This window comes from Homo sapiens, chromosome 17, assembly GCF_000001405.40.
Source record: "Homo sapiens chromosome 17, GRCh38.p14 Primary Assembly".
Lineage (NCBI taxonomy): Eukaryota > Metazoa > Chordata > Mammalia > Primates > Hominidae > Homo > Homo sapiens.
In genome coordinates this window covers 46,498,266-46,524,455 of record NC_000017.11, presented here as the reverse complement: position 1 = coordinate 46,524,455, position 26,190 = coordinate 46,498,266, and the positions used below count along the sequence as shown (strand labels likewise).

General features: G+C 42.6%; 2 protein-coding genes and 1 pseudogene across 27 annotated transcripts in view; 1 reads left to right on the top strand and 2 right to left on the bottom strand.

Moving 5' to 3' along the window:
• Nucleotides 1-24,166, top strand: part of ARL17A (ARF like GTPase 17A) — a 79,433-nt gene extending 55,267 nt beyond the window's left edge. For 2 of the 8 annotated variants that reach the window (XR_934475.4, XM_005257439.6), the window contains 2 exons: nt 7,223-7,362; nt 19,847-21,165. Coding sequence is in view for 3 of the 8 variants with exons in the window: in XM_005257439.6 (XP_005257496.1) it covers nt 7,223-7,341 (119 nt within the window). In the remaining 5 variants the exon portion in view is untranslated. Of the gene's footprint in view, nt 1-7,222; nt 7,363-7,442; nt 7,755-10,470; nt 10,546-15,565; nt 15,778-19,846; nt 21,166-24,077 lie in introns of those variants that run through there. The other 6 variants (XR_934478.4, NM_001288812.1, XR_934479.3 and 3 more) reach the window with 5 other exon arrangements.
• LRRC37A2 (leucine rich repeat containing 37 member A2) overlaps nt 1-26,190 on the bottom strand; it is a 676,337-nt gene that overhangs the window by 524,673 nt on the left and 125,474 nt on the right. For 8 of the 19 annotated variants that reach the window (XM_024450773.2, NM_001006607.3, XM_011524842.4 and 5 more), the window contains exons 1-5: nt 9,135-11,988; nt 7,023-7,094; nt 4,173-4,244; nt 1,301-1,372; nt 572-652 (exon numbers count right to left, since the gene is read on the bottom strand). In XM_024450773.2, coding sequence (XP_024306541.1) covers nt 572-652; nt 1,301-1,372; nt 4,173-4,244; nt 7,023-7,094; nt 9,135-11,743 — 2,906 coding nt within the window. In that variant the 5' untranslated portion in view covers nt 11,744-11,988. Of the gene's footprint in view, nt 1-571; nt 653-1,300; nt 1,373-4,172; nt 4,245-7,022; nt 7,095-9,134; nt 11,989-12,040; nt 12,768-12,847; nt 12,946-19,825; nt 19,946-26,190 lie in introns of those variants that run through there. The other 11 variants (XM_011524844.4, XM_011524848.4, XM_047436143.1 and 8 more) reach the window with 10 other exon arrangements.
• Nucleotides 15,117-20,510, bottom strand: RDM1P2 (RDM1 pseudogene 2; annotated as a pseudogene).

Below are 26,190 nucleotides of genomic sequence, written 5' to 3'. Positions count from 1 at the left end.
GCTGGGATTACAGGCATGAGCCACCATTCTGGCCCTACAACTTTGGATTTGATTCCTGCTCATATGCAGAGTTTCTAACTGCTTAAATGTCTGCAACATTTAGCTGCAAGGAAGGAAGCTTAACACAAAGTCCTCCAGGGAGCAAAAAACTGCACCACCACGCCCAGATTTTTTTTTTGTATTTATAGTAGGGACAGGGTTTCACTATGTTGGCCAGGCTGGTGTTGAATTCCTGACCTCGGGTGATCCACCCACCTCGGCTCCCAAAGTTCTGGGATTACAGGTCTGAGCCACCCCGCCCAGCAACAAGGCTAATTTGAGGGTCACTTCTTTGATGCCTTTTCTTGCCCATGCTATAGGTCAGAACTAGGACAAGCAGAGGAGGTCATATATAAGCTACGTAAGTCTCTTGGCCTCTTTGTACCTTAGCTTCCCCATTTGAGAAAAATGAATGGATCTTAAGACATGCTTTTCAGAGTTGATAATGGGCTTATACCCAGCTACCCAATAATTGTATGAGTTTTTGTACATAAATAGTTGTTTACATGTATTCATCTTCTATTTCACTTACAACTTATGTAAAAACTGCATTCCGTGCCAGGCCTGAAATGTTCCAAAGCTGAGTTCTGTAATTACATTGCAACTAAGATTTCTAAAAAAAAAAGACACAAGCCAAAGAAAAAAAAAATTATTTCAGAACATTTATCATTTGCCATGATTCTAATTTATATAGGATGGAACATAACCTCAATCCTTTCTCTATGCACTAAGGAAATCTGACTGTGGAAGATACTGGCTTATGATTTATACTTTAACACTGCACATGTGGTGCATTAGATACAAAACAGTGAATGCTCAGTAAATACCTGTGTTAAGTGATCTTTATTTCTCTAGAACAGGATTTCACAACTTCAGTGCCATCAACATTTTGGACTATATAACTCTTTGCCATGGGGGTTTGTCTTATACCTTGAAGGATGTTTAGCAGCATCTCTGGCCTTTGCCCACCAGATGCCAGGAGCACACTCACAGTTTTGTCAACCAAAACTGTCTCCGGACATTACCAAATGCCACCTGAGTGCAAAATCACACCACCTGAGAACCACTGCTCTCTGATGATTCACTAAGATCTGTGTAATAATTCTCACAATAATCCTTGCTAGAGACAAAAAGGATTTGCTGTATAATTTTAGTAGCTTTCTACTGGTAAAATTTTAATCATATTTCAAGAATAGCAAAAAGGTTTATAATTAAGTTTTATAAAAATTCCAAATGTAATCAAGTTATATTTGTAACTTACATAAACTTCAAAAATGGTAGTGGTTCAAATGTATGTCTTTCAATAGACTGTATTTTATTGCAGGATAAATCTCTAGGAAAACGAAAATATTGCCTTGATTAGTTATTAAATGTCAATTGGTATGAATAACAGCAAGAGTTTAGAATAATACTGAATACCTGTTTTTCATCTCAACTCTAAACGTTTGGACTTGTATTTGAACATTCCAGAGCCCCTAACCCTGCCCATACCTCTCCTAGAGTCTCACCTTCATGGTTTTAATAAATATACAACATAATAGACTTTGGAATTAATTTTTCCTGAGAGCAGTAGACTTGATTAGATGCCCTTTTGTAGTGTCATCAAATCTTAGATTATGAGCTCAAAGATTTTATCTCTATATACACAATTTCTAATATTAAAAAAAATAGTCGGGCCGGGTGCGGTGGCTCAGGCCTGTAATCCAGCACTTTCGGAGGCCGAGGCTGGCAGATCCTGAGGTCAGGATATCGAGACCATCCTGGCTAACACGGTGAAACCCTGTCTCTACAAAAAAAATAAAAAATTAGCCGGGCCTAGTGGCACGTGCCTGTAGTCCTAGCTGCTCAGGAGGCTGAGGCAGGAGAATGGCATGAACCCAGGAGGCGGACCTTGCAGTGAGCCAAGATTGCACCACTGCACTCCAGCCTGGGCGACAGAGCGAGATTCCGTCTCAAACAAACAAACAAACAAACAAACAAGTCTCACATTTCTACACCTTCTTAGTTTAGGTCTGTTTTCCTAAGCCACTTCAATATCAGAAGAAATAAAAGACATCCTTTCACATCATTTGAAAGGAAGCTACCCCTTTACCTAATACATAACTTTGAACTAATTCAAATCATATTAATAGAATTAATTTCTATCATATTAATAGAAATTCATTTTTGGTTTTGTATTGCTTTAATATTTCATAAAAAAAAATTTCTTCAGTTATACAGTGATGGAGTTTGTCCCTCCCTCTTTACCTGGATGGTGTAACGTTGTCTGGCTGATGTCTCCATCTCTAGTCTCTCCCTACCTAAACTATCCTGCACACAGTCATCATATAAACTCTCCAGAAGTGGCTTGCAAAGACCAGCATCTCCTGGGAAATTACTGAAGATGCAAATTCTTGGTCCCACTCTAGACCAACTGAATCAGTAACTACGAGGGTGGAGTCCAGAACTGAGTTCTAACGTGCCCTCTCAATGACTGTGATGCAGATCTACCTTACAGCGCTGCTGTGGTAACACGGTTCCCCATGTTGGCTCCTCAGCTTGGCATTCAAAGCTCTAGAAGATCTGGCTCCATTTTCCTACTCTCCCTTCTTGTACTCTACGGGTACTCATGGCATTCCTTGAATACTTTCCTGTGTTTTGCCCTCCCATTTTCCTTTTGCAAGTTTAGAGTATTTTCCCCAAGATGTCTGTCTGGTGTTACACAATGGCCCTTTAAAGTCCTATTCAAATGGCATTGTTCTAGTAACATCCTCCTGGGTCCAAATTGAAGGCATTTTTTCCTCTTCTATGTTCGAGAAACAATTTATCCCTCCTAGTGCCCACATCCATTTCTTCTTCTTAATGTAGTTATTTTGTATCCCATTTCTTCTGAGCATAAACAGGTCCCTGAAAGCATGGACTAGGTCTTGCTCATCTGCATTGCCCACCATGTTTAAAACTGACACATGGAAATAAAGCAAACTCAAATATTTGTAAAATAAATGAATAGGGGGGAGTGAGTAGAAGGAAAATAACTATTTTAAAGGAAACGTAGTTTTATTATTTCATGGTCTCTGTAGCACTTTGGCATCCACCTGAGGGTCTTTACACCCACTTTCCTTAAGCCTTCTATATTTGAGAGAATCTGTTTGCAAAAGAGCATCACTAATGAGCTTAATAAGGATTAATGACATACACACCTCTATGGACAAAGGGTAAGAATCAAGCATTCATAGCAATGAACATAGTATCTTCTTGTCTCTAAACAGACAGAAATACAGGGATCCCTTTCTTGGTAACAGGGCTGGGGCGATCGTTATTTTGTAATTAGTGAAGAGTTAGGGGCATTTCTGATGTGCTTCTTAGTGTAAACATTTCTAGCTCTACCAGTTAACCATCATTTTAAACATCTGTTTTAATATAACAATTCCTGAAATGAAATCCTTAATACCAGTCTATTCTCTTGGTAGCTTAATATTCTTGATGATAATATTGATATAATTCAGCTATTTTTAATATTTAAATGTTAATTTAATTCCGATTAAATTACCAAAAAATTCTGGATTAATGATGTTCAAATGAATGCAGGTGGTCTCCATTTTCTTCTCCTTTAGGCAACCATCTGAAGTTAACTTTAGTTCCTTTCATCCTACTAAACCAACTTTTTGAAATTTTTTTTGGTGAAGGTCAGACAGTAAATATTTTAGGTTTTATGGGCCACATATGATCTCTCGCATATTTCTTTGTTTCTTTTCTTTTTCTTTCACAGTCCCTTTAAAAATGCAAAACCCATTCTTAACTTAATGGGCTATTTAAAAATAGACCATAAATTAGATTGGATCTATTGGTTGTAGACTGAATAGAAAAAGAATGATATGTGAACCCTTATAAAACAAGGTTCATATGGGTGTCAGTCACTGCTCAGATTTTCTTACCATGTGAAATGTTTTTGTCTGTATTTTGTCTATACAACTTAAAAACTGAAAATGCACAGGAGGTAGCTAGTGCTAGAGATGGGCTGAGACCCTATACAAACTTACAGAATTGCAGAATTTTATTGCTCAAAGAAATCTGAGAGATTATCTAATTTGAACCCCTTATTCATTTTACAGATAATATGACTAAAAACTCATAAATATAATTAACTAACTTACAAATACTGGAGGGATAGCAGGCCTTCAAATGAATCCTTGTGTAATTCAGTCAAGTTATTTTCTCTGAGAATTCTGGAAAATGAAGAAGTTATTTCTAGATTAAAATGCAAACTACAACTATTTGCTACACAGAACCATCTCCTGCATGTGGAGGAAAGCTGGGTCATGGTCACTTCAAGATGGTGGGATCTGCTCTGCTTTCATTCAAACCTTTTCTTATATTTTCCTTTTTGTGTCCATCTCTCTCCACCACCACCACAAACACACACACACACACTCAAGCACACCCCTTGAAGAGTGGGTTTCTTCCCACCAAATTCTGTTATTTCATGCCTCCTCTCTAGATCACAAAATCCCTTTTAGAATCCAACTCTGGGTGGCACCAAGATCAGCAGAACCTCCATTTCCTCCTCTCTTTTCCCAAACCTTATTATGAAAGCCCCACATGGAACCATGTCAGGGCTGCAAGTGAAGCCATTCAACCTTTTTCCCCCCATCAAAAAAACTGGAGAACTATAATGTGCATAAAGTGCACATAACATAAATGTTGTTTATATTTAATTTAATTTAATTTTTGAGACAGGGTCTCACTCTGTTCCCAGACTGGTCTCAAACTCCTGGCTCAAGTGATCCTCCTGTGTCTGCTTCCCAAAGTGCTGTGACTGCAGACATGAGCCACCTCACCTGGCCAAAATATTCAGTTTAATAATTATGAAGCAGATACCCATGTAAACATCGTTACAAAAGATCATTGCTAGCATGCCAGAAGCCCCAGTGTGCCCCTTTCCAATCATATCCCTCTCTCTAACCCTAATAGGTAACCACTATCCTGACCTTTGTAATAATTTTCTTGTTTTTAAAATGTAGTTCTGGCCTGGCGTGGTGGCTCATGCCTGTAATCCCAGCACTCTGGAAAGCCAAGGTGGGTGAATCACCCACGGTCATGAGTTTGAGACCAGCCTGGCCAACATGGTGAAACCCTGTCTCTACTAAAAATATAAAAATTAGCTGGGTGTGATGGAGGGCACCTGTAATTCCAGCTACCCAGGAGGCTGAGGCAGGAGAATCCCTTGAACCCGGGAGGTGGAGGTTGCAGTGAGCCAAGATCGCACCATTGCACTCCAGCCTGGGCAACAAGAACAAAATTCCATCTGAAAAAATAAATAAAGCAATTCTCCTGCCTCAGCTTCCCAAGTAGATGGGATTACAGGCACCCACCACCACGCCTGGCTACTTTTTGTATTTTTAGTAGAGATGGGGTTTCGCCCTATCGGCCAGGCTGGTCTCAAACTCCTGACCTCAGGTGATCCGCCTACCTCCCAAGGTGCTGGGATTAAAGGCGTGAGCCACCGCGCCTAGCATATGTTTATTTTTAATTTAGAACTCATCGTGGCTTGTCTATATACATTGGAATAATGATGTGACACACAAACTGTTGTGAAAAATGTCAGTTACTTTGAATGTAAGCATTTTTTCCAAAATCACTTATGTGTCTAAACCAATTCCTTCTATAAATCAGTAAGAAAATGATAAAACAATTCAACAGGAAAATGAACAAAGGCCAGAAAACTCAGAGAAGAAACACAAATGTTCAATAAACATATAAAGATACTAAATTAAATTCATGAGTAATCAGAAAAATTCACATTTAGATGGAATCCCTTTTATTCATCCATAACTTCAGCAAAAAGTTGGAGAATACCCAGCGGTGAAAAGGTGTTGGGAAATGAATGCTGTCATATTCTGCTGACAATAGAGTAAGTTGGCACAAAATTTTTGAAGGCAATTAAAATTTTATATCTACATAGTCTTCACCCCAAGAATTCCATTTCCAGATATCTATGCTACAGGAATACTTGCACATGTTCACAAAGAAGCATGTACAGGGATTTCATTGCAGCAATGCATGTAACAAGAAAACTAAGCATAATCTAAACATTCATCAATGGGGGAATTATTAAATAAACCATGATGCATCCATACTATGGATTATGCAGGAGTTTAAATGAATGGGGTGACCCTCTCAGTACTGGGAAGGAAAGAAATCTAAGGCATATCATGAAGTGAAAGAATCAAGTTGCAAGATGTTACCCTTTATGCGAAGAAAAAATTTTAAAACCACAAAACAAATCTATTTTGCTTTATGTAAATATGTATGTAGGTAAATGAGGAAAAGTCTGGAAGCATGTATACTAAATGCAGAGTAGCATTACTTCAGGGATGAGGGAGTAGGGCACAAGGAGAGTTTTTGTTATATCTGTTATTGCATTTTTATATATTAAAAATGGAATCATGGGCTGCGGGTGGTGGCTCATGCCTGTAATATGAACACTTTAAGAGGCCAAGGTGGGAGGATCACTTGAGCCCAGGAGTTCAAGACCAGCCTAAGCAGCATAGGAAGACCCTGTCTCTACAAAAAATACAAAATTAGGTGGGTGTGGTGGCATGCACCTGTGGTCCCAGCTACTGGGGAGGCTGAGGTGAGAGGATCACTTGGGCCTGGGAGGTGAAGGCTGCAGTGAGCTGTGATTGTGCCACTGCACTGCAGCCCAGAGGACAAAGTAAGACCCTGTCTCTGAAAAAAAAAAAAAAAAAAAAAAAAAGAGAACAAAAAGGAATATAACCATGTACTATTTGTATGATAAAAAATAAATTTAAATTGCCTCTTATTTTAAAGAGAGCCTACCAAATTTAATTTTAAAATAACCATACAATTGCAATCAACAGTGGTTGATTTGGGGCGTGGAGGAGAAATATCTTTCCTCAGAGGTACCGACCTCAAAATTCTGGACCAAGAAGGATCTTACAATGCAGTTAGCTTTTTGTCATATTTGGAGAGAATATACTCACAGTTTCTCGGTCCAACTGTATGCTTTCCATACATTTCCATCAATGTAAGAAATATAGTTTCCTTGGAAATTTCTGTGAAGAAACACAGTTTATATCCTTGAATAGGTAGGAAAACAATGAACACGATAAGTAAAAGAATCATTGCAATCTTGTTGGGGATATTCAGAAACAGAAAATAACACCTGCTTTCTCATTTCCAGAGCTATCAGCTTCCCAGTTTGCACAATTCATCAAGAAATTATGCGGGGTCACCGGCACAAATGATGAGGCATCTCCTGGAAGCTTAACTTCTTATCCATCCCATCTCTTGGACAGATGATGCCAGTTAATTACTTTGAATGTAAGTATTTTATCTAAAAGCACTTATGTGTCTAAACAGACTTCTACAAATCAGTACCAAAATGGTAAATAATTCCACAGAAATATGGGCAAAAGCTTATCATTATCAACAAATGAGAAGAAAGAAACCCTATGCCAGGTAACACCAAAGCTTTGGCCCAGTGCCCTCTGTTGAAACATCCTAGGCTTTTTCTTTCCACTCCTATTACAACTGATCTGATTTGGCCCCTTCACACCTCACTCCTAGATTTTGCTAGACCTTTCTATTTTGTCTCCCTGAATTAAGCTTTTCCTTTTGGACACTTTACATATGGATTCTAAAACAATCCTCTGCATGTCTACACTTGCACATAATGCAAAAAACAAAATAAAATAATCTTCCTGTTTTGATCATGTAATCTCTCTTGCTTGGAAACTTTCAATGGCTTTCCATACCTCATTGTGTAACTTTCAAACTCCTGTAGCTGATAATCAAGGTTTTACAGAATCGTATCTTCATTGCTCCCTCACCTAATTCTTTGTAGCCACATTGGTCTACTAAATTCCAACCATACCTGTAGCCATGCGTTTGCCTAGACTGTACTCCCATTTTTCTCCTATTTAACAAATTATGGCTACTCTTTAAGACCCAAGTAAAGTTTTAGCTTACCCATGTAGCATCTCCACACCTCAAGGATCACAGATTCTGGCAAATTCTAGCACCAATGGTCTGCATTATCTTTTAGTACTTAATTATATATACCTCCCTTTTTATGCCTATTCTCTTTCTTCCCTCCTATCATTTTTTTTTTTGAGATGGAGTCTTGCTCTGTCGCCCAGGCTGGAGTGCAGTGGTGCAATCTCGGCTCACTGCAAGCTCTGCCTCCCAGGTTCATGCCATTCTCCTGCCTCAGCCTCCCGAGTAGCTGGGACTCCAGGCACCCACCACCATGCCTGGCTAATTTTTTTCTGTATTTTTAGTAGAGATGGGGTTTCACCATGTTAGCCAGGATGGTCTTGATCTCCTGACCTCATGATCCGCCCGCCTCGGCCTCCCAAAGTGCTGGGATTACAGGCGTGAGCCACCACACCCAGCCTCTTCCCTCCTATCATTTTCGTGTTCTGGAGACAGTAGCATACTTGGCCCTGGGTTTGACATAAAACTAGTTCTACATATAGAAAGCTAGGGACAAAAATGAGTTCTGGACAAAACTAAAGGACTGAATAATCATGTGAACAGCCAACTCTCCTACATATGCTAAGCACTGATGAAGTGTTTCATATATTCACTCACCTAAATTTCACAACAATCCTATGAAATGCTAACTAGCATGATCCCCAGTTTAAAGGTGAGGAAATTGAGTCACAGGCAGAATAACTTGCTCTGGGTCACCAAGCTAATAAATAGATCTGGGTTCAAACCCAGGCAGCCTGGCTCCGGAATCAACTCTTAACCACTTAGAGCATCATCACTGAGATCGGGAGAGGGACAGGCTGCTGTAAAGAGGGTGAAGCGAAAATGGGAGGAGAGCAGCGGTTAAGCAATGATGTGATGGGGCTAAATAAAAATGGATACAAAAACGAGTAAAAGACCAGAGTAAAAGGAAAAGACTGGAGAAGGGGCCTAACATTAAAAGAGAATGAGGAGAAGGGAGAGTTGACAAGCAAAGGTGAAAGCAGAAAGTCAGTTGTCCATATGGCTTGGGGAGATAAAGAAGGCCCAGGAAGGCCTCCAGGAAAAGGCTGCCATGTCAGGCAGGACACAGAGGACAATTGAGGAAAAGTGATTCTTACAAGATGGTGAAGGTGCCATTGTGGGTGTTGGGCTCTGGCACAGGCACTTGGCGGAGCCTCTGCTCTGGGTTGAGATCAATACATGACAACATCTCATCTCCGCAGGTACAGAGCTCACATATGTTGGTGCTTGTGGAGGCCTTGTGTTCCTCTGGTGCAGTTAAAGCCTTATTTTGGGTGTAACTTTCAGACTGCACCAGTGAATCCTGAGCAGGTTCTAGTTCAGTAGGTGGACCTGTGACTTCAGTCAGGCTTCGATGCAGAGTCTGAACCCGGTCTGGACGAGGAGCTGTAGTCTTCTCCAGGGCTGTAGAATGTCTAGTCTCTGTAGTGGGTTCTGGAATGATGGCAAGTCCCAGGTCTGGAGGCTGAGTTGAGGTCTCCTCCGTGGTTGGAGATGGTTTAACCTCTGTAGTAGGTTTTGTAGTTATGGTAAGCTCCAGGTCCAGAGGTTGAACGGTGGCTTGAGTCAGGTGTGAATGCTGAGCCTGACCCTTGTCTGAAGGTGGAAGTGTCACCTCAGGGTGTCCTGGAGGAGGAGCTGTAGTCATCAGGGCTGTAGAAGGTTCAACCTCTGTCATGGATTTTGGAGTGATGGTAAACCCCAGGTCCAAAGGTTGAACTGTGGCTCGAGTCAGGTGTGAATGCTGAGTCTGAACCTGGTCTGGATGTGGAAGTGTCACCTCAGGATGCTTTGGAGAAACTATAGTCCTCTTCGGGGGTGTAGAATGTCCAACCTCCGTAGTAGGTTCTGGAGTGATGGTAAGTCCCAGGTCCAAAAGTTGAACTGTAACGCTGGGTGACACTGGATGCTGAGCTTGATCCTGACCTGGTGTTGGATTTGTTACCCCTTGATATACTCGAAGTTGGGGTACAACTTTCTTAGGAGGCTGAGTTGGGGTCTCCTTCATGGTTGGAGAAAGTTCAACCTCTGTCTTGGATTCTGGAGTGATGGTAAACCCCAGATCCAAAGGTTGAACTGTGGCTTGAGTCAGGTGTGAATGCTCTGGAGGTTGAGCTACAACTACATTAGGGAACTCTGGAGTCTGAGCTGGGGCCTCCTGATGGGTTAGGGAAGACTCACCCTCCTCAGCGGTCTGTGGATGCTCAGCTGCAGCCTCCTGCTGGGTTGGAGAGGGGTTCTCATTATTAATAGGTTCCGGAGATTGAAATGAAGTCTCCTGTTGAACTGCTAAAGGTCCAGCTTCTTCTGATGACTCTGGAAGCAGAGGTGGGCCCCCGTGCTGGATGGCGGGAGGTTCTACATCATTACCTGACCCTGAGAGCCGAGTTGTAGCCTCCTGGTGGACTAGAGAAGTTCCCACCTCTGCACTAGGCTCTGCTGCTATGGTGAGCTGCACGTCTGGAGGCTTCACAGAGACACTGGGTGAAGCTAAATGATGAGTTTGATGGTGACCTGGAGGTGAAACTGTGACTTCATGATGTTCTGGAGGCTGACCTGGGGTCTCCTGCTGGGTCGGAGAAGATTCGACCTCCCTAGGAGACTCAGAAGGCTGAACTGGCTGCTGCTGCTCACTGATGGAAAGTTCATGCTCCATAGGAGGAACTGGAGGCTCAATTGGGGCCTCCTGTTGGGTTGCAGAAGGTTCCACCTCCTCTGGAAACTGAATTGGGGTCTCCTGCTGGGCTTGGGAAGATTCTGTCTCATTGGTAGGCTCTGAAGTTATGGTAACCTCCACATCTGCAGGTTTAACTGTAATGTTGGGCAAGTGATAATAAGCTTGATCCTCACCTGGAGGTTGAACTGACACCTCATGATTCGGTAGAGTTAGACTCTCCATAGAGGACTCTGGAGGCAGAGCTGGGGCCTCCTGCTGCATTGAAGAAGGTTCTTCCTCAAGGAGCTGTGGAAGCTGTGCTGGGGCTTCTTGCTGGAGTGAAGAGGACTGGATGTCTTCAAGGGTCTCTGGATTTTGAGTTTCGGGCTCTAGATGGAATTGAGAAGGTCCAACTTGCTCAGAGGGCCCTGGAGGCTCATCTGACTTCACCCGGAGTTCTGGAGGCAGGCTACCGGGATACGGTGTATCTGTACTGGAATATTCATTCTGCAAAGTCTGTTTCTGACTCTGAGGTGTGGATAATTGGCGTGTAATTCCAATAATCTCAGCAAGGCTCCAACGCTGAGCTGGATCTTTCTTCAGCTTCTTGGGCGAAACAGGGAGTCTTTCCTGTGGACTCAGCTTGTCCTTTAAATCCTGCTGTGAAGCCAAGAACTGCTCTGGCTCCAGGGGCTGCTCTCCAGCTGAATCCCAGGTGTCCAGGAATGGAACCAAATTTTCAGTCGATTCCTGGGGTGGGGCTGGCATCTCTGAGGAAGCAGAGGGCCCCAGGTGATCAAAGTCCCACGGGTCTGCTGGGAGAGTAGGCGCATGGGGAGATTCCCGTGGGAAATGGGAGGAGTGGGAAGACCAGGAGTCAGGCGGCCCCAGGGGATTAGAGGTGAGCTGGAGCGGGTCCTTGACCCACTCCAGAGGCTGAGCCTCCTTAACTAGTAGCCACAATAGTTGCCACATAAGGAGGGGCCATGGGCCCCAGAAACGCAGCCGGGACATGACACACACTAGTGCCGGGCACTGAGCAGAAGACATTCTGGCAGCTCCGAGACGCTCGTGCCCCTTCTAAGCGTGAGCCCCGCCCTGTCTTTATGACACCTTTATTTATGTCACAGATCTGCTCCATGTCACCAGGGCACTCTTATGTCACAATCCCGCCCAAGCACGCCTTCCCATCCTGCCCTGCCGGAACACCCCTCTCCTCCCCTTAGTGAGGAAGGATTTGGGCCTCAGACCCTGGTGGTCCCAGGACTCCAGCGCCTGCTGTGGTGGGGTAGGGTGGGGTAGGGTGGGGTGGGGGCGCGGCAGAGCTTCCCAAGGAAGTCACCGGACCTCGCCTCAGGATATTCAGAAGTGCTAGTTCAGTTCTGGCAGCCTTCCTCCTTTAAGGTGAAATCCGAGAACACTCTTCCTTCCAGGGAGAGCAACTGACCTGCAAAATGGGCGCCAGGATGCACATTACAGTCACTTATTCCAAAGTGTTGCCATTTTCGCTAAACTGTCGCATGTTTGATAATTAATTCACCACCCTATTAGGTAGGGGCTGCCAGGGAATAAGCGAGGACTCCACATTTTCTGTAGGAGGGGTGTTGGGAGTTGGCAATTCGGTCTGGGAGAGAAGGTTTTAATCCGAGTGAAGAGCCCTTTGCACTAGCCTGGGAGGAGGCTGAACTGTCATCCTGCCTTGACTCAACACAGCCATTCCCCTAGAAGTTACAGCACTTCTAGGGTCACCTGTGTTCAGAGATCTACCCTGTGTGCACACATGGAGAAGAGGCTTAGGTTGTTAAAGTCAGCATGTTAAATCATTTCCTGAAATGCGACTGTAACTAGAACCCAGCTGACTTCCCCCACAGCCGTTCTTACCTATTTTATTACTGTCTGGCATAATTACCAGCATGTAAACTCCAAGAAGGTGCTTCATCTTATTTTAGTGCCTGGCATAGACATAGGGTGCATAGTGATGGCTTTAAAATTGAAGGGGGGCCGGGTGTGGTGGCTCACACCCATAATCCCAGAACTTTGGGAGGCCGAGGTGGGGGGATCACTGAGGTCAGAAGTTCGAGACCAGCCTAACCAACATGGTGAAACTCCGTCTCTACTAAAAATACAAAATTAGCCAGGTGTGATGGTGCATACCTGCAATCCCAGCTACTCAGGAGGCCAAAGCAGGAGAATCGCTTGAACCTGGGAGGCAGAGGTTGCAGTGAGCCGAGATCACAACATTGCACTTCAGCCTGGGCAACAAGAGAGAAACTCCATCTCAAAAAAATAAAATAAAATAAAATGGAAGAGATTCCAAGATTCACCTCATTTAGGGATGGAGCTATTGTTATAATCAGATTTCTGAAATGAGTGCTGACTTCCTCTCACATTTCACAGGAAGCTAGACTTCTTAAAGCTTGAAGTCTCCTTGGTGGGTTTTATTTAAATTGAATTAAAATAATTATTTTACAGGGAAAAATTTCAAAACACTTTGCAACTTTGGGGTAAAAGTTAAATAAAACACTGTAGCCCCAAGTTAAGTTCCCACTGAAATGATACTTTTGCTCCTTTTTTTAAAAAAAATTCCATAAATAGTAAATAATGACTGTTTTGAGATTAATTTAGAAACAATCCCTATTTAAGAGCTTTCATATGCAGTCATGCATTGCTTGCCACGTGAGGAGCTTGAGAAATGGGTCACTAGGTGATTTCACCATTGTGCTAATATCATAGCGTATACTTACACAAACCTAGGTGGTGTAGCCACCATACCTAGGGTACACGGTATGGCTTAGGACTCCTAGGCTACAAACCTGTACTGTATGTTACTGTACTGAATACTAAAGGCAACTGTCACAGAATGGCAGGTATTTGTGTATGTAAACATGGAAAATATATAGTTAAAATACTGTGTAAAAGATAAAAATGGGGCCTGGGCACAGTGGCTCATGCCTGTAATCCCAGCACTTTGGGACGCCAAGGTGGGTGGATCACTTGAGCTCAGGAGTTCAAGACCAGCCTGGCCAACATGATGAAACCCCATCTCTACTAAAAATACAAAAATTAGCTGAGTGTGGTGACGCGTGTCTATAATCCCAGCTACTCAGGAGGCTGAGGTAGGAGAATCACTTGAACCTGGGAGGTGGAGGTTGCAATGAGCTGGGATCATACCACCGCACTCCAGCCTGGACAACAGAGTGAGACTCCATCTCAAAAAAAAAAAAAAAAAAAAAAAAAAAAAAAGATAAAAATGGTATACCTATATAGGGATAGCTCCATTATACGCTTACGGAACCACCATCATATATGTGGTCTACTGTTGACGCAAACTTCATTTTGCAGCACATGATTGTAAATGATTGACAGAAAGATCTTCAGCAAAATATTCCACCCAAGATACGTGGGAGATATTGAGATCCAAGCAATAAGCCATATTTGAAAGGCATTATAGTTTTCAAAAGCTGTAGCGCAATCATTCTTAAGGCCAGTTACCTTCTCCCCACATCTCTGGGATCCTGTTTGAAGGGAGTTCTAACAAGGCCTGTGTTCGAGCAGCCCAGCATCCCTTACTCCTGGAGCGGGGGGAGACTAACCCCTCTCCTGTGTCCACAACTGTAGTAATACAATCCTCGGTTCTGCTCTCCAAACTTCAAATAAGGGGTCAGAGCCAAGGGTTAAGACTTTAGGAAAAGCCCCGGAAATACCCTGCACTCAAAAAGCAGTTTCAGAGTTTCACATTTTCCTGAGAATTAAACAAATTATCCTCCAAATTCTGCTGCTTGTTTTGAATTATGGTTATACTGGCAATGTTATCAAACCCTTGAGTTGTTTTTCTTTTCTTTTTTTTTTTTTCCTCGAGAGAGTGTCTTGCTCTGTCACCCAGGCTGGAATGCAGTGGCATGATCTCGGCTCACTGCAACCTCCGCCTCCTGGGTTCTAGTGGTTTTCATGCCTCAGTTTCCCAAGTAGCTGGGATTACAGGTGCCCACCACCACACCCAGCCAATTTTTGTATTTTTAGTAGAGACAGGGTTTCACCATATTGGCCAGGCTGGTCTTGAACTCCTGACCTCATGATCCACCCACCTCGGCCTCCCAAAGTGCTGGGATTACAGGTGTGAGCCACAGCGCCTGGCCTGTTTGTTTTTTGAGATAGAGTTTCACTCTTGTTGCCCAGGCTGGAGTGCAATGGTGTGATCTTGGCTTACCGGAACCTCCGCTTCCCGGGTCCAAGCGATTCTCCTGCCTCAGCCTCCCGAGTAGCTGGGATTACAGGCATGTGCCACCATTTCTCCATGTTGGTCAGTCTGATCTTGAACTCCTGACCTCAGGTGATCCACCCGCCTCAGCCTCCCAAAGCACTGGCATTACAGGTGTGAGCCACTGTGCCCGGCCCTGTTACCTTTGAGTTTTTATCTCCACATACTTATATTAAACCGTGTAGTTCTTCTTCCCATCTGACATCTACAATCTCTTCACTGGGTCTGTACTCCATAGCTATTTTACCACTTTCTGAAATAAAGTTAGCAAGGATGAATTCAGAATCTTTTTCATTCCAAAACTTCCTGCATATAATGGTAGCAACCCACAATGAGACATTCTTTTAGTTTCTAAAAGCAGGAAATAAGCATTTTCCTGAAAGTTTCCTCATCTCTTCATCATACACTTCGATTTTTGTTTTTCTTTTTTCTTTTAGACAGGGTCTCACTCTGTCACCCAGGCTGGAGTACAGTGGCACTATCATAGCTCACTGTAGCCTGGAATTCCTGGGCTCAAGTCATCCTCCTGCTTCAGCCTCCAGAGTAGCAGGCACTATATCACTGTGCCCGTCTAATTCTCTTTTTTAGAGACATGGTCCCGCTTTGTTTTCCAGGCTGGTCTCGAACTCCTGGCTTGAAGTGATCCTTCTGTCTTGGCCTCCCGAAATGCTGAGATTTCAAGCGTGAGTCATCATGTCTGGTCTCACAGCTCAGTTTTTAACATATGTATGAAATATCAACTGTGTTTGGTTCAAAGGACTTTATGATCTTACAGATAGGAACTAAGGAATAATAACGTAAGAAATAAAAAATGTGGAAATAAAAATGTTCAATCATAACATGATTAAAAGGTAAGGCACCAGGTGGGGGGTCGAAGTAAGTTCAAATCCAAAATAGAGACCACTGGGCTAGTAGACACTTCACATTAGAAGCATGGCTAGGTGTCTACTCCCTGAGAACCAAAATTCCACCAGATACAATGAACAAAGCTTTAGAGAGAGAAAACATTTGAACATTTTACGGGCAGAAAATGGCCCACATACTCTATAGACAATACAATTTCCTTCAAGGCAAACTAGAACTATAAGGCTTTTGGTCTAAGAAGTGAGTGTGTGCAAGGGATACCTTTGCATACTAGGGAGGGGTAGACAACCCACACATTTAGCTTGGTTATTAAATGTCATTACTCAGACTTGACAGTTGATGACCAAGGAAGTAAGACTTTCACTAGAAGGGCTGCCCAGGTTGGAAAGCTGAGAGCAATCAGGGCCACCTCTTACAAGCAAATAAAGGTCTGTAGTAACTTAATTACAATCTCAGTCTCTAAGCCTTCAGGGTTGTGAAGCAGAAAGGCAACTCTGTTCAGGGACTCGTTAAACACCAGGTTTCCTTTGGGCACAGGCTATGACATTTGTGCCACTGTAGAACTGAATAGGAAATACAAGCAGTGCCATTCAACAGCATGACCACTTCCAAGGCTCACAGCAAAGCAGCTGATTATTGTATAAGAATCATATTTGGCCAATATGTCAGTGCCAGAAATGAGAGCTGGAACTGAATTCTCGATTCGAGAAACATAATCTAATAAATTCTTCAGCAGAGTTTATTTATTCAGAGAGAAAACAATCACAACAATAGCATATTTTGTCTGCTTACCTTGTAAGTATAGTTCTGAGTTTTTACACTTGTCATCTCATTTTTTCTTACAATATCAGCAATAAGGTTGATTGGATTACTAACCCCAGTTTGCAGATAAAGATTGCAGCTTAGAGATATTAAATATCTTCAAATCTCTCTGGCCATAAGACCTAAAACTGCATACAAAAATCTAAGAGACAGAGTTAGGACTCAAATCCATGTGTCCAGGGCTTATAATCACTATTCTGTACGATAGGCATGCAATTAAAGAAGACCTGCCTCAAACATTTTCTGTGTGACCTGAGGCAAGTCCTTTTATAGCTATAAACTAGGGACAATATTTGCTGTCATTTTTTCTACAAATGTCACAAAGAACAAATTTGAGCCTGTCGCTGTGAAAGAACTTAGCAAATGAAAGCATCCTAGGGAGTGTTTTAGATATCGATATTTTTATCCAATTAACTTTTCAAAATGAGTTTATTTGCTCACTGAAACTGAAGTACTTCAACGACGATTAAGAAAGTTTTACCTAGAACCACAATCAACAGTTTCTGGAATGCATCTGACAAAGCCTTCTCAATAGCAATCTGGGCTATCTTCCCTTTCATAGGAATGACAACGGTCTTAAATCCAACCCAAACTAATGGATTTAAGATGCCTATCTGAGTGATCATTGCTACATGTTGGTTAAAAAATAAAAATGCATCCACGAATCTTAGCTCATAATCTTCGTGATTAAAGGCAGACAGCACAAGGGTATGGTTGAACGTCTCTGTTATAGGTACATCCTGGCAGGGCCCATTTTTACTGCCTCCATCTAGTTGGGAAGTTCCTAAAGTACTAGAGGGAGACATAAGCCAAGAACCTGGCACATATCTCACATCACCCAGAGATTTAATTCATCAGTTAAGGCTACACTCCTATGGACCCCACCCTCCTATGCATCAAGGGCTGGAATCACTCACTGAAAAAAAGCTTTGTTGGCTGGACACGGTGGCCCATGCCTGTAATCCCAGCACTTTAGGATGCCAAGGCGGGTTGAGGCCAGGAGTTCAAGAACAGCCTAGCCAACGTGGTGAAACCCCATCTCTCCTAAAAATACAAAAATTAGCCGAGTGTGGTGGCACACACCTGTAATCCCAGCTACCTGGGAGTCTGAGGCACAAGAATAGCTTGAACCAGGAGGCGGAGGTTGCAGTGAGCCGAGATCATTCCACTGCACTCCAGCCTGGGTGACAGAGTAAGACTATTTTCAAAAAGAGGCCAGGCACAGTGGCTCATATCTGTAATCCCAGTACTTTGAGAGGCCAAGATGGGCAGATCACTTGAGGTCAGGAGTTTGAGACCAGCCTGAGCAACATGATGAAACCCTGTCTCTACTAAAAAATTTTTTAAAAATTAAAAATTGGCTGAGTGTGGTGGTGGGCAGGAGGGAGGTGAACTGCTTGAACCTGGGAGGTGGAGGTTGCAGTGAGCCGAGATCACACCGGTGCACTCCAGCCTGGGCGACAGAGCAAGACTCTGTCTCAAAAAAACAAAAAAGGTTTGGTACAGATAATCTGGCTCCTCCCTGGGCATCATCCATGAAAGCCTACTCCCCTCCATTAGCCTACAGCCCTGCCTCTGACTTCAAACCCTAAGCCTGAGGGCCATGAATACTAGAAAAAAATCTCAACGTCAGTTATCAATTGAGTACCCTTTCTAGTATCTCTAGTAGACTCTTGTTCCACTGAAGCCCTTCTACGAGTAAAAAAAAGGCTGAATGGGCCGGGCGCGGTTGCTCATGCCTGTAATCCTAGCACTTTCAGAGGCCAAGGCAGATGGATCACGAGGTCAGGAGTTTGAGACCGGCCTGACCAACACAATGAAACCCCATCTCTACTAAAAATACAAAGATTAGCCAGGCATGGTGGTGCATGCCTGTAATCCCAGCTACCCAGGAGTGTCAGGCAGGAGAATCACTTGAACCTGGGAGGTGGAGGTTGCAGTGAGCCGAGATCACACCACTGCACTCCAGCCTGCGCGACAGGGCAAGACTCTGCTTCAAAAAAAAAAAAAAGACAATGTTTACACAAAACTTTCTGTAAATCTTTACATGATGACTTGGCATGGTGGGTGGCTCATGCCTATAACTCCAGCACCTTGGGATCCTGGGGGAAGAGGATCACTTGAGGCCAGGAGTTTGAGACCAGGCAGGACAACACAGCAAGACCCCATCTCCAGAAAAAATAATTAGCCACATGTGGTGGCACACGCCTGTAGTCCTGGCTAGTCAGGAGGCTAAGGTGGGAGGATCCCTTGAGCCCAGCAGTTTGAGGTTGCAATGAGCTATGAGCATGCTACTGCACTCTAGCCTGGGCAACAGAGCAAGACCCTGTCTCTAAAAAATAATAATAAATAGATAAACAAATCTTTAGATAATTTTGTTGGGATAACTGAAGGCTATAAGAGATACATATTTGAAGGACTATTTTAGACGAGATTGGGTGCGTTCAGGGTGGTATGGCTGTAGACTTGAAGGACTATTTTAATACAAAGCAAGTTCTTAACCGAAAACTGGAAAAACATTACTTCCTTCTTCCTCCTACGCTTCTTGGCAGGAAGTACACTGTACAATTTTAAATTTAAAGGTTCTGGCCGGGTGGGGTGGCTCACACTTGTAATCCCAGCACTTTGGGAGGCCAAGGCAGGCAGATCACGAGGTCAGGAGATCGAGACCATCCTGGCCAACATGGTGAAACCCCATCTCTACTAAAAATACAAAAATTAGCTGGGTGTGGTGGTGGGCGCCTGTAATCCCAGCTACTCAGGAGGCTGAGGCAGGAGAATGCCTTGAACCCGGGAGGCGGAGGTTGCAGTGAGCCGAGATCACGCCACTGCACTCCAGCCTGGTGACAGAGCAAGACTCTCTCTCAAAATTAGTTAATTAATAAATCAATTTATTAAATAAATTTATTAATTAATAAATCAATGTATTAAATCAATTTATTAATTAATAAATCAATGTATTAAATCAATTTATTAAAGCAATTTATTTACTTATTTAAAGGCTCTGTCAGGTATTGCCTAAGGTAAAAGTCTGTATTGTAAGACAGAAAACCTCTGCCCAGGACTTCAGTAGCTCAGAGAGGGAAAGGCTTGATATGTGTCTGAAAAGACAAGTTTTAGACAGCAAGAAAAAAGAGATCCTTCCCATTTCAACTCCTTACCCTCCTCTACCCCCAATGAAAACAGACCTTCCTTCGCCTTATCCACAGGCTCCTCCACCAAGCCAAGGCCAGACTCCTGCAATCATAGGATGGCAACACCACCTCTAAAGCACAGAACTTCAGGCTTTGCTTCGGAAGTGGCACCATGGTCTCTTCATTTTCCCTTTCTTCAAGGTCAGAAAACTGAAGCTGTTAGGAGTTTTAGTGTTAAGTTCCTTCCGAGGATGTTAATTAGGCTTCAAACTGTTTTGTTCTGAGAAATAAAAACTAAACTCCAGTCATTCAAGCTAACAGTTGAGGTGTTCTATGGCTTCAAAATCAAGTAAGATTTGTAAATGAATTGCTAGGTGCAACCATTACTTATTATATGCCACACAAACAGTGGAGAAAATTATGGACACCACCATCCAAGTGATTGAGATTATTAATTTTAGGTAGCAGGCCAATTCAGACATGTCCACTTATCCTCAATGGCAGGGGGCCTCTCACATCCCCTCCCTGTAACCCAGTTCAATACTTCTGTCTAAAGTCTAGAATTTCAATGTTGAAAGGAGAGCGTGGTTAGTGAGAGAAAATCCACAAAGTTTATCCTGATGATCCTTTCTGACCATCCATTGAAACCAAAGTAGTAATTCACCAGTTCTTGGCATCAGGAGCTGTTTCAGGCAAGGGCCTGATGTGCAACTGCCTTATGTCTGCTGCCAAGAGGAACCTAAAGTCACAAGAGACAGACCCACAAATATCACAGCCTGCCAGAGATTTTATTTTGGATACACCTGAGATTTATCAATACCAACTGTGCAAAGAAAAGAAATTGTTTCAGTCTTCCCATTCAGTAGCTCCTTCTTGAGAACATGACCTGAAGAATAGATAAGATGAACCCACCCATCCCCCACCCCAAGTTACCCCTGCTTAAAGAGGAAATACACATACCTCTATACATTTTACAAGCAACTAAAACAACTAGAGGTTCATCTGCATGTATAAGCTTCTTTGACAATGCAAATATCTACTGAGTGTTAATTCTTGAAATATTTTACACATTTCTGTGAATTTCTTACATCACCAGTTCTTTCTTATGTCTATTTCATTTTGTAAGTGTAGAATATGATTATATTCATGAAACTCAAATGATACAAATAGTCAAATTTATTGTATTAGAAATTAATAAGAATAGTAAAGTTAATTCTTTGTTGATTTGTTTATGCACCTTCCTCTGTCACTGGTTTATAAGCTCCATAAGTGCCAGAGGAAAACATATCTTATTCTTTTTTCATTCCCAGAACAAAGCACAGTTCTTGGCATACAATACAGGATAGATGGTCTGTTGATTGAGTGAATGAATAAAACAATGAGCAAGTAAAAAATGAAATTACTTTTTCCCACTGAAGAGAAAGAGAAACGCTTGTTGGGAAGGAGAAATGAAGACTATTTTTTTTTTTTTTTGAGACGGAGTCTCCCTCTGTCGCCCAGGCTGGAGTGCAGTGGCATGATCTCGGCTCACTGCAAGCTCCGCCTCCCGGGTTCACGCCATTCTCCTGCCTCAGCCTCCAGAGTAGCTGGGACTACAGGCGCCCCCCACCACTGCCGGCTAATTTTCTGTATTTTTAGTAGAGATGGGGTTTCACCGTGTTAGCCAGGATGATCTCCATCTCCTGACATCGGGATCCACCCACCTCAGCCTCCCAAAGTGCTGGGATTACAGGCGTGAGCCACCACGCCTGGCAATGAAGACTAATTTTTAAACGTTGAGTGCTACCACGGAGACCAGCCTGTAACATGAGTCACAGTGGAGACTTTCGGAACATCTAGGAAACTTCAGAAGGGCTCTGAGCCCCTGGGTGGTACAGACAGTTGTCACCTTGGATAACATTGCCACAGTTCTTGCTGGTGACCATTTCCCTTCATTTCACTGAAACAAAAACAAAAACAAAAAACCCTCACAGGTGCCTTAGGCCTTTCCTTGATTTTAAAACATTATTCTCTTTTCTGTATTTATAAAAAGCAAAAAAGACAGCAACTAGGTGTATGTGCTAAAGTAGAAAAGAACACTTAAGGCCAGGAGCAGTGGCTCATGCCTGTAATCCCAGCACTTTGGGAGGCTGAGGTGGGCAGACTGCCTGAGGTCAGGAGTTCGAGACCAGCCTGACCAATATGGTGAAACCCTGTCTCTACTAAAAATACAAAAACTAGCAGGGCGTGGTGGTGGGTACCTATAATCCCAGCTACTTGGGAGGCTGAGACAGGAGAATCTGGGAGGCAGAGATTGCAGTGAGCAGAGACCGGGCCATTGCACTCTAGCCTGGGGAACAAGAGTGAAACTCCACCTCGAAAAAACAAAAAATAAAAGGACCCTTAAACTAGATAACAGTGGGGGTCAAGTAGTAACCCAAGGCTCTGAGTTCAGTAAGTAAATAAATCTAATATGAATGCCCTCTCCTCTCACTCATCTATTAACTTGTAGAACATTTCCTTCATTACTGCATCAGCGATGAGCTTTATGCTGTGAAATTCTCAAAATCTAAAGCTTATGAAGTGGTCTCAAGGTCCAAAGCGCACTAAAAACTCATTACTTACAAAATGATGCCAAGTAACTGTTTCATCATCTTTACCATACCTTTACCATATTTGAGTGGCTATGTGAAATGGTCACAGGTTAGAAACACATCATCGTCCAAAAGTTAAATAATATTTCACAGGTAATCATTTCAGTCACAGGAAGTGGAACCAGGATTGAAGAGGGTGTTGAATAAGCTACAAAAGTGGGTATAGTATACCTGGAGTCATTACTAAGCAGAGTTCTCAGATTTGATCAAGGTTAATTCAATGAGAAATGGAATATAGACAATAGGCAACAAGATTAGCAGGAAGCAGTCAGATCAAGTAGCCAATCAGGAATTGAAATCGGTCCTTGAAAATGGAAAGGTGATTGAATTGAGGCATACAATGAGATATCATTCTGTGGCTCTGGGAAAGTAAAATTGGTTGGCATGTTAACATGGAATAGGATTTCTACAAGGCCGCTTAAAGAATGTTTCCATCCTCTGAGAACTGAAGGGAGTTCCAAATAGGCAGTTTGTGACTGATGATGAGCATGTTGATGATAAAGTCTCCTTTATATAACAGCCGGCAGACGACTTGGTCACGCCCACACATTTTAAATTCACATAAAGGTAAATATATGGTCAGGCGTGGTGGCCCACACCTGTAGTCTCAGCACTTTGGGAGGCGAAGGCGGGTGGATCATTTGAGGTCAGGAGTTCAAGACCAGTCTGGCCAACATGGTGAAACTCTATCTCTACTAAAATACAAAAATTAGCCAGGCATGGTGGTGCATGCCTGTGGTCCCAGCTACTCAGGAGGCTGAGGCAGGAGAATCGCGTGAACCCGGGAGGCGGAGGTCGCAGTGAGCCAAGATCGCACCACTGCCCTCCAGCCTAGGCAACAGAGACTCCGTCTCAAAAACAAGTCAATATAGCTGGGCATGGTGGCTTGTACCTAGCTACTTAAGAGGCTGAGGCAGGAGGATTGCTTGAGGTCAGGATTTACAGACCAGCCTGGGCAACACAGGGATATTCTGTCTCTAAAAAAATTTTAAAAAGTACCACCACCATGCCCAGCTAATTTTTTTTGTATTTTTAGTAGAGACGGGGTCTCACCATGTTAGCCAGGCTGGTCTCAAACTCCTCACCTCAGGTGATCCACCCGCTTCAGCCTCCCAAAGTGCTGGGATTACAGGCATGAGCCACAGTGCCCGGCCCAGAACTTGCATTTCTAACAATTCCCAGGTTGTGCTGTTTGGGGAACCATACTTTGAGAAACACTTCCCTATAATCTGATAGGTTATTTCCCCTAAGATCCAGATGAGTAAAAATTAATACACATTAGATGAAATTCCAGAAGTTATCTTCAAACTTTGCTACTCATTGAATGTCATGAAGATATTGGAAAAAAAAGAAAAAAACAAAAAACAACCTTGCTACTCAACAAGGGATTTGCTATTATCACATTTCAGAGAAATTCAGAACCTCAGGCCTAAACCCAGGCCTACTAAATCAGGATCTGCAGTTTCTCACAATCTTCAGGTGATTTCTATGGTCATTAAAGTTTGAAAAGCTGCCTCGAAACAGTCCTTCCTAAAACTGAAGTGGAGGTGCCACAAAAATCATCTGGTAAATTGTTTAAAGTAATCCCAAATGCAACTCAAATCTACAGAATCCCAGGTGAAGCTCAGTAATCTGTATTTTTATCCTTCTCCCCAAATAATTCTGATGTGCAGGCAAGTTTGAAAACCACTGCTTTAAAGAAAATGGATACTCCCCTTACCAAGCAGAAAGTAGGATTTTGGAAACTGATGCAAGGGAAGCAAAAAGATGCCTCAGGAGGCACGATTACAACAGGATTGATGCAAACGGAAGCTGAAGCTTAACCAAAGACATTAATATACGCCCACAAAAGAAAATGCTAAGGAAGTCAAGTGGTCTGCATGAATTCTGAAGAAAAATGGAGAACCAAAGAACAAAATTTGTCAATGAACTTCCAGCACAGTCTAGGTTAAGGGAGTGAATTTCTTGACTGAATGGCACAGACTCTGTACCACCTGATTGGCTGTTACCTTAATGGAGGAATTATATTACAATGTATAGGTACTTTAATTAGAATGACCTGGCAGTTACTGAGGCAAAATTTTCCGCTCCTTTGTATTCTGTAATACAAGAAGGATCTACATGGATGTTCTGTTCTCTGAACTGTCTGGATGAACCGGTCAACGGCACTCATCATACCTTAGTTTTTAAATCTGCATTGTGGTCATAATCTGTTATTTAATTAATTTCTCGTATTTTTATAAAAACTTTGCCTATATATTTTAGACAGAAATTGCCTTACTTTGCTGAAATGCTGAGAAATCCTAGACAGTTTTCAAGGCTGGGCTCAAATGTCACCTCTACTACCCTTTGCTGTGCCTCCTGGCACTGTGCTTCTGACACTTTGTACGGTCCTCCATGACAGCGTGAGCACAATTATATTACAGGCAATTACTCATGCCCCCCTGGCTCATCTGTTGACTCCTTTAGAGCACAGATCATGTTTTATTTATTGTAGCAACTAAAACAATTATCTGTTCAACCAATGACACCCATAAACAAAACTACCTGCTGAGGGCAGAGATGCAGGGGTAAAGTCATGCCAAGATTGAACCCCAGAAACCACTGTAGATTTTTCAGAGTTGACTCCTGCGTTTTCAGACTTCTAGACTTCAAAAAACAACTTCTATAAAATGTATGTTTCTAGAAGGAAGAAGAGTAACATTGTCCCCCCACCTTTTTTTTTTTTTTTTTTTTTTTTGAGCTGGAGTCTTGCTCTGTCGACCAGGCTGGAGTGCAGTGGTGCAATCTTGGCTCCCTGCAACCTCCACCTCCCAGGTTCAAGCCACTCGCCTGCCTCACTTCAAGTAGCTGGGATTACAGGAGCCCACCACCACACCCGGCTAATTTTTATATTTTTAGTAGAGACGGGGTCTCACCATGTTGGCCAGGCTGGTCTCAAATACCTGACCTCAAGTGATCCACCTGCCTAGGCCTCCCAAAGTGCTGGGATTACAGGCGTGAGCCACCATGCCTGGCCTATAGAGTGCTTTCTATTTGCCAGACATTGTGCTAAGCACTTTAAAATGCATTCTTTCATTTTATCCTCAGATCAGCTCCATAAAATAGCTACCATTATTACCTCTACATGTATATACATATATATGTATATATATGTAGATATATATACGTATATCTACATACATTGAAAGTCTCAGCAGTGTTTTAACTTTTGCTTTCAACCACTATACATATTTTAAAGAGCTTAAGAGGAGAAACAACCGTTTGCATTTTTAAATTTTCCCAGATACCATTTCTGCTGCTCTTTATCTCTGAAGTTCTAGTATTACCACTGGTATAATTTTCCTTTGGCCTAAAGACCTTCTTTTACTTTTATTTTAGAGCAGAACTTCCGCCAACACATTCTCTTAGATTTTCTTCATCCAAAATGTCTTTCTTCTTTTTCTTTTTGCCTTAATTGTTGAAGGGTATTTTTGCTGGATATAGAATTCTGGATTGACATTTCTCTCAGTACTTTAACGATGTTCTGTAGTTACTTGAATCGCTGAAAGGCTTAAAGTTGGGGACCAGCTCTATCACCTATACATTTTATAGAAAGGTTCATTACTTTCATATCTTCATTGTGGACCATAGCCTTTATCATCACAAAATTTTGTCTCATTTATGAGTTTTTAAATTTTGCTTTGAACCTAAACTTTTATAACTCCTTTCTATTTCCTACAATGTGGAGTTTATGGCGGACAGCACAGGCAGTTGGAAATATATATCTGGAGTTTAGAAAAGAGG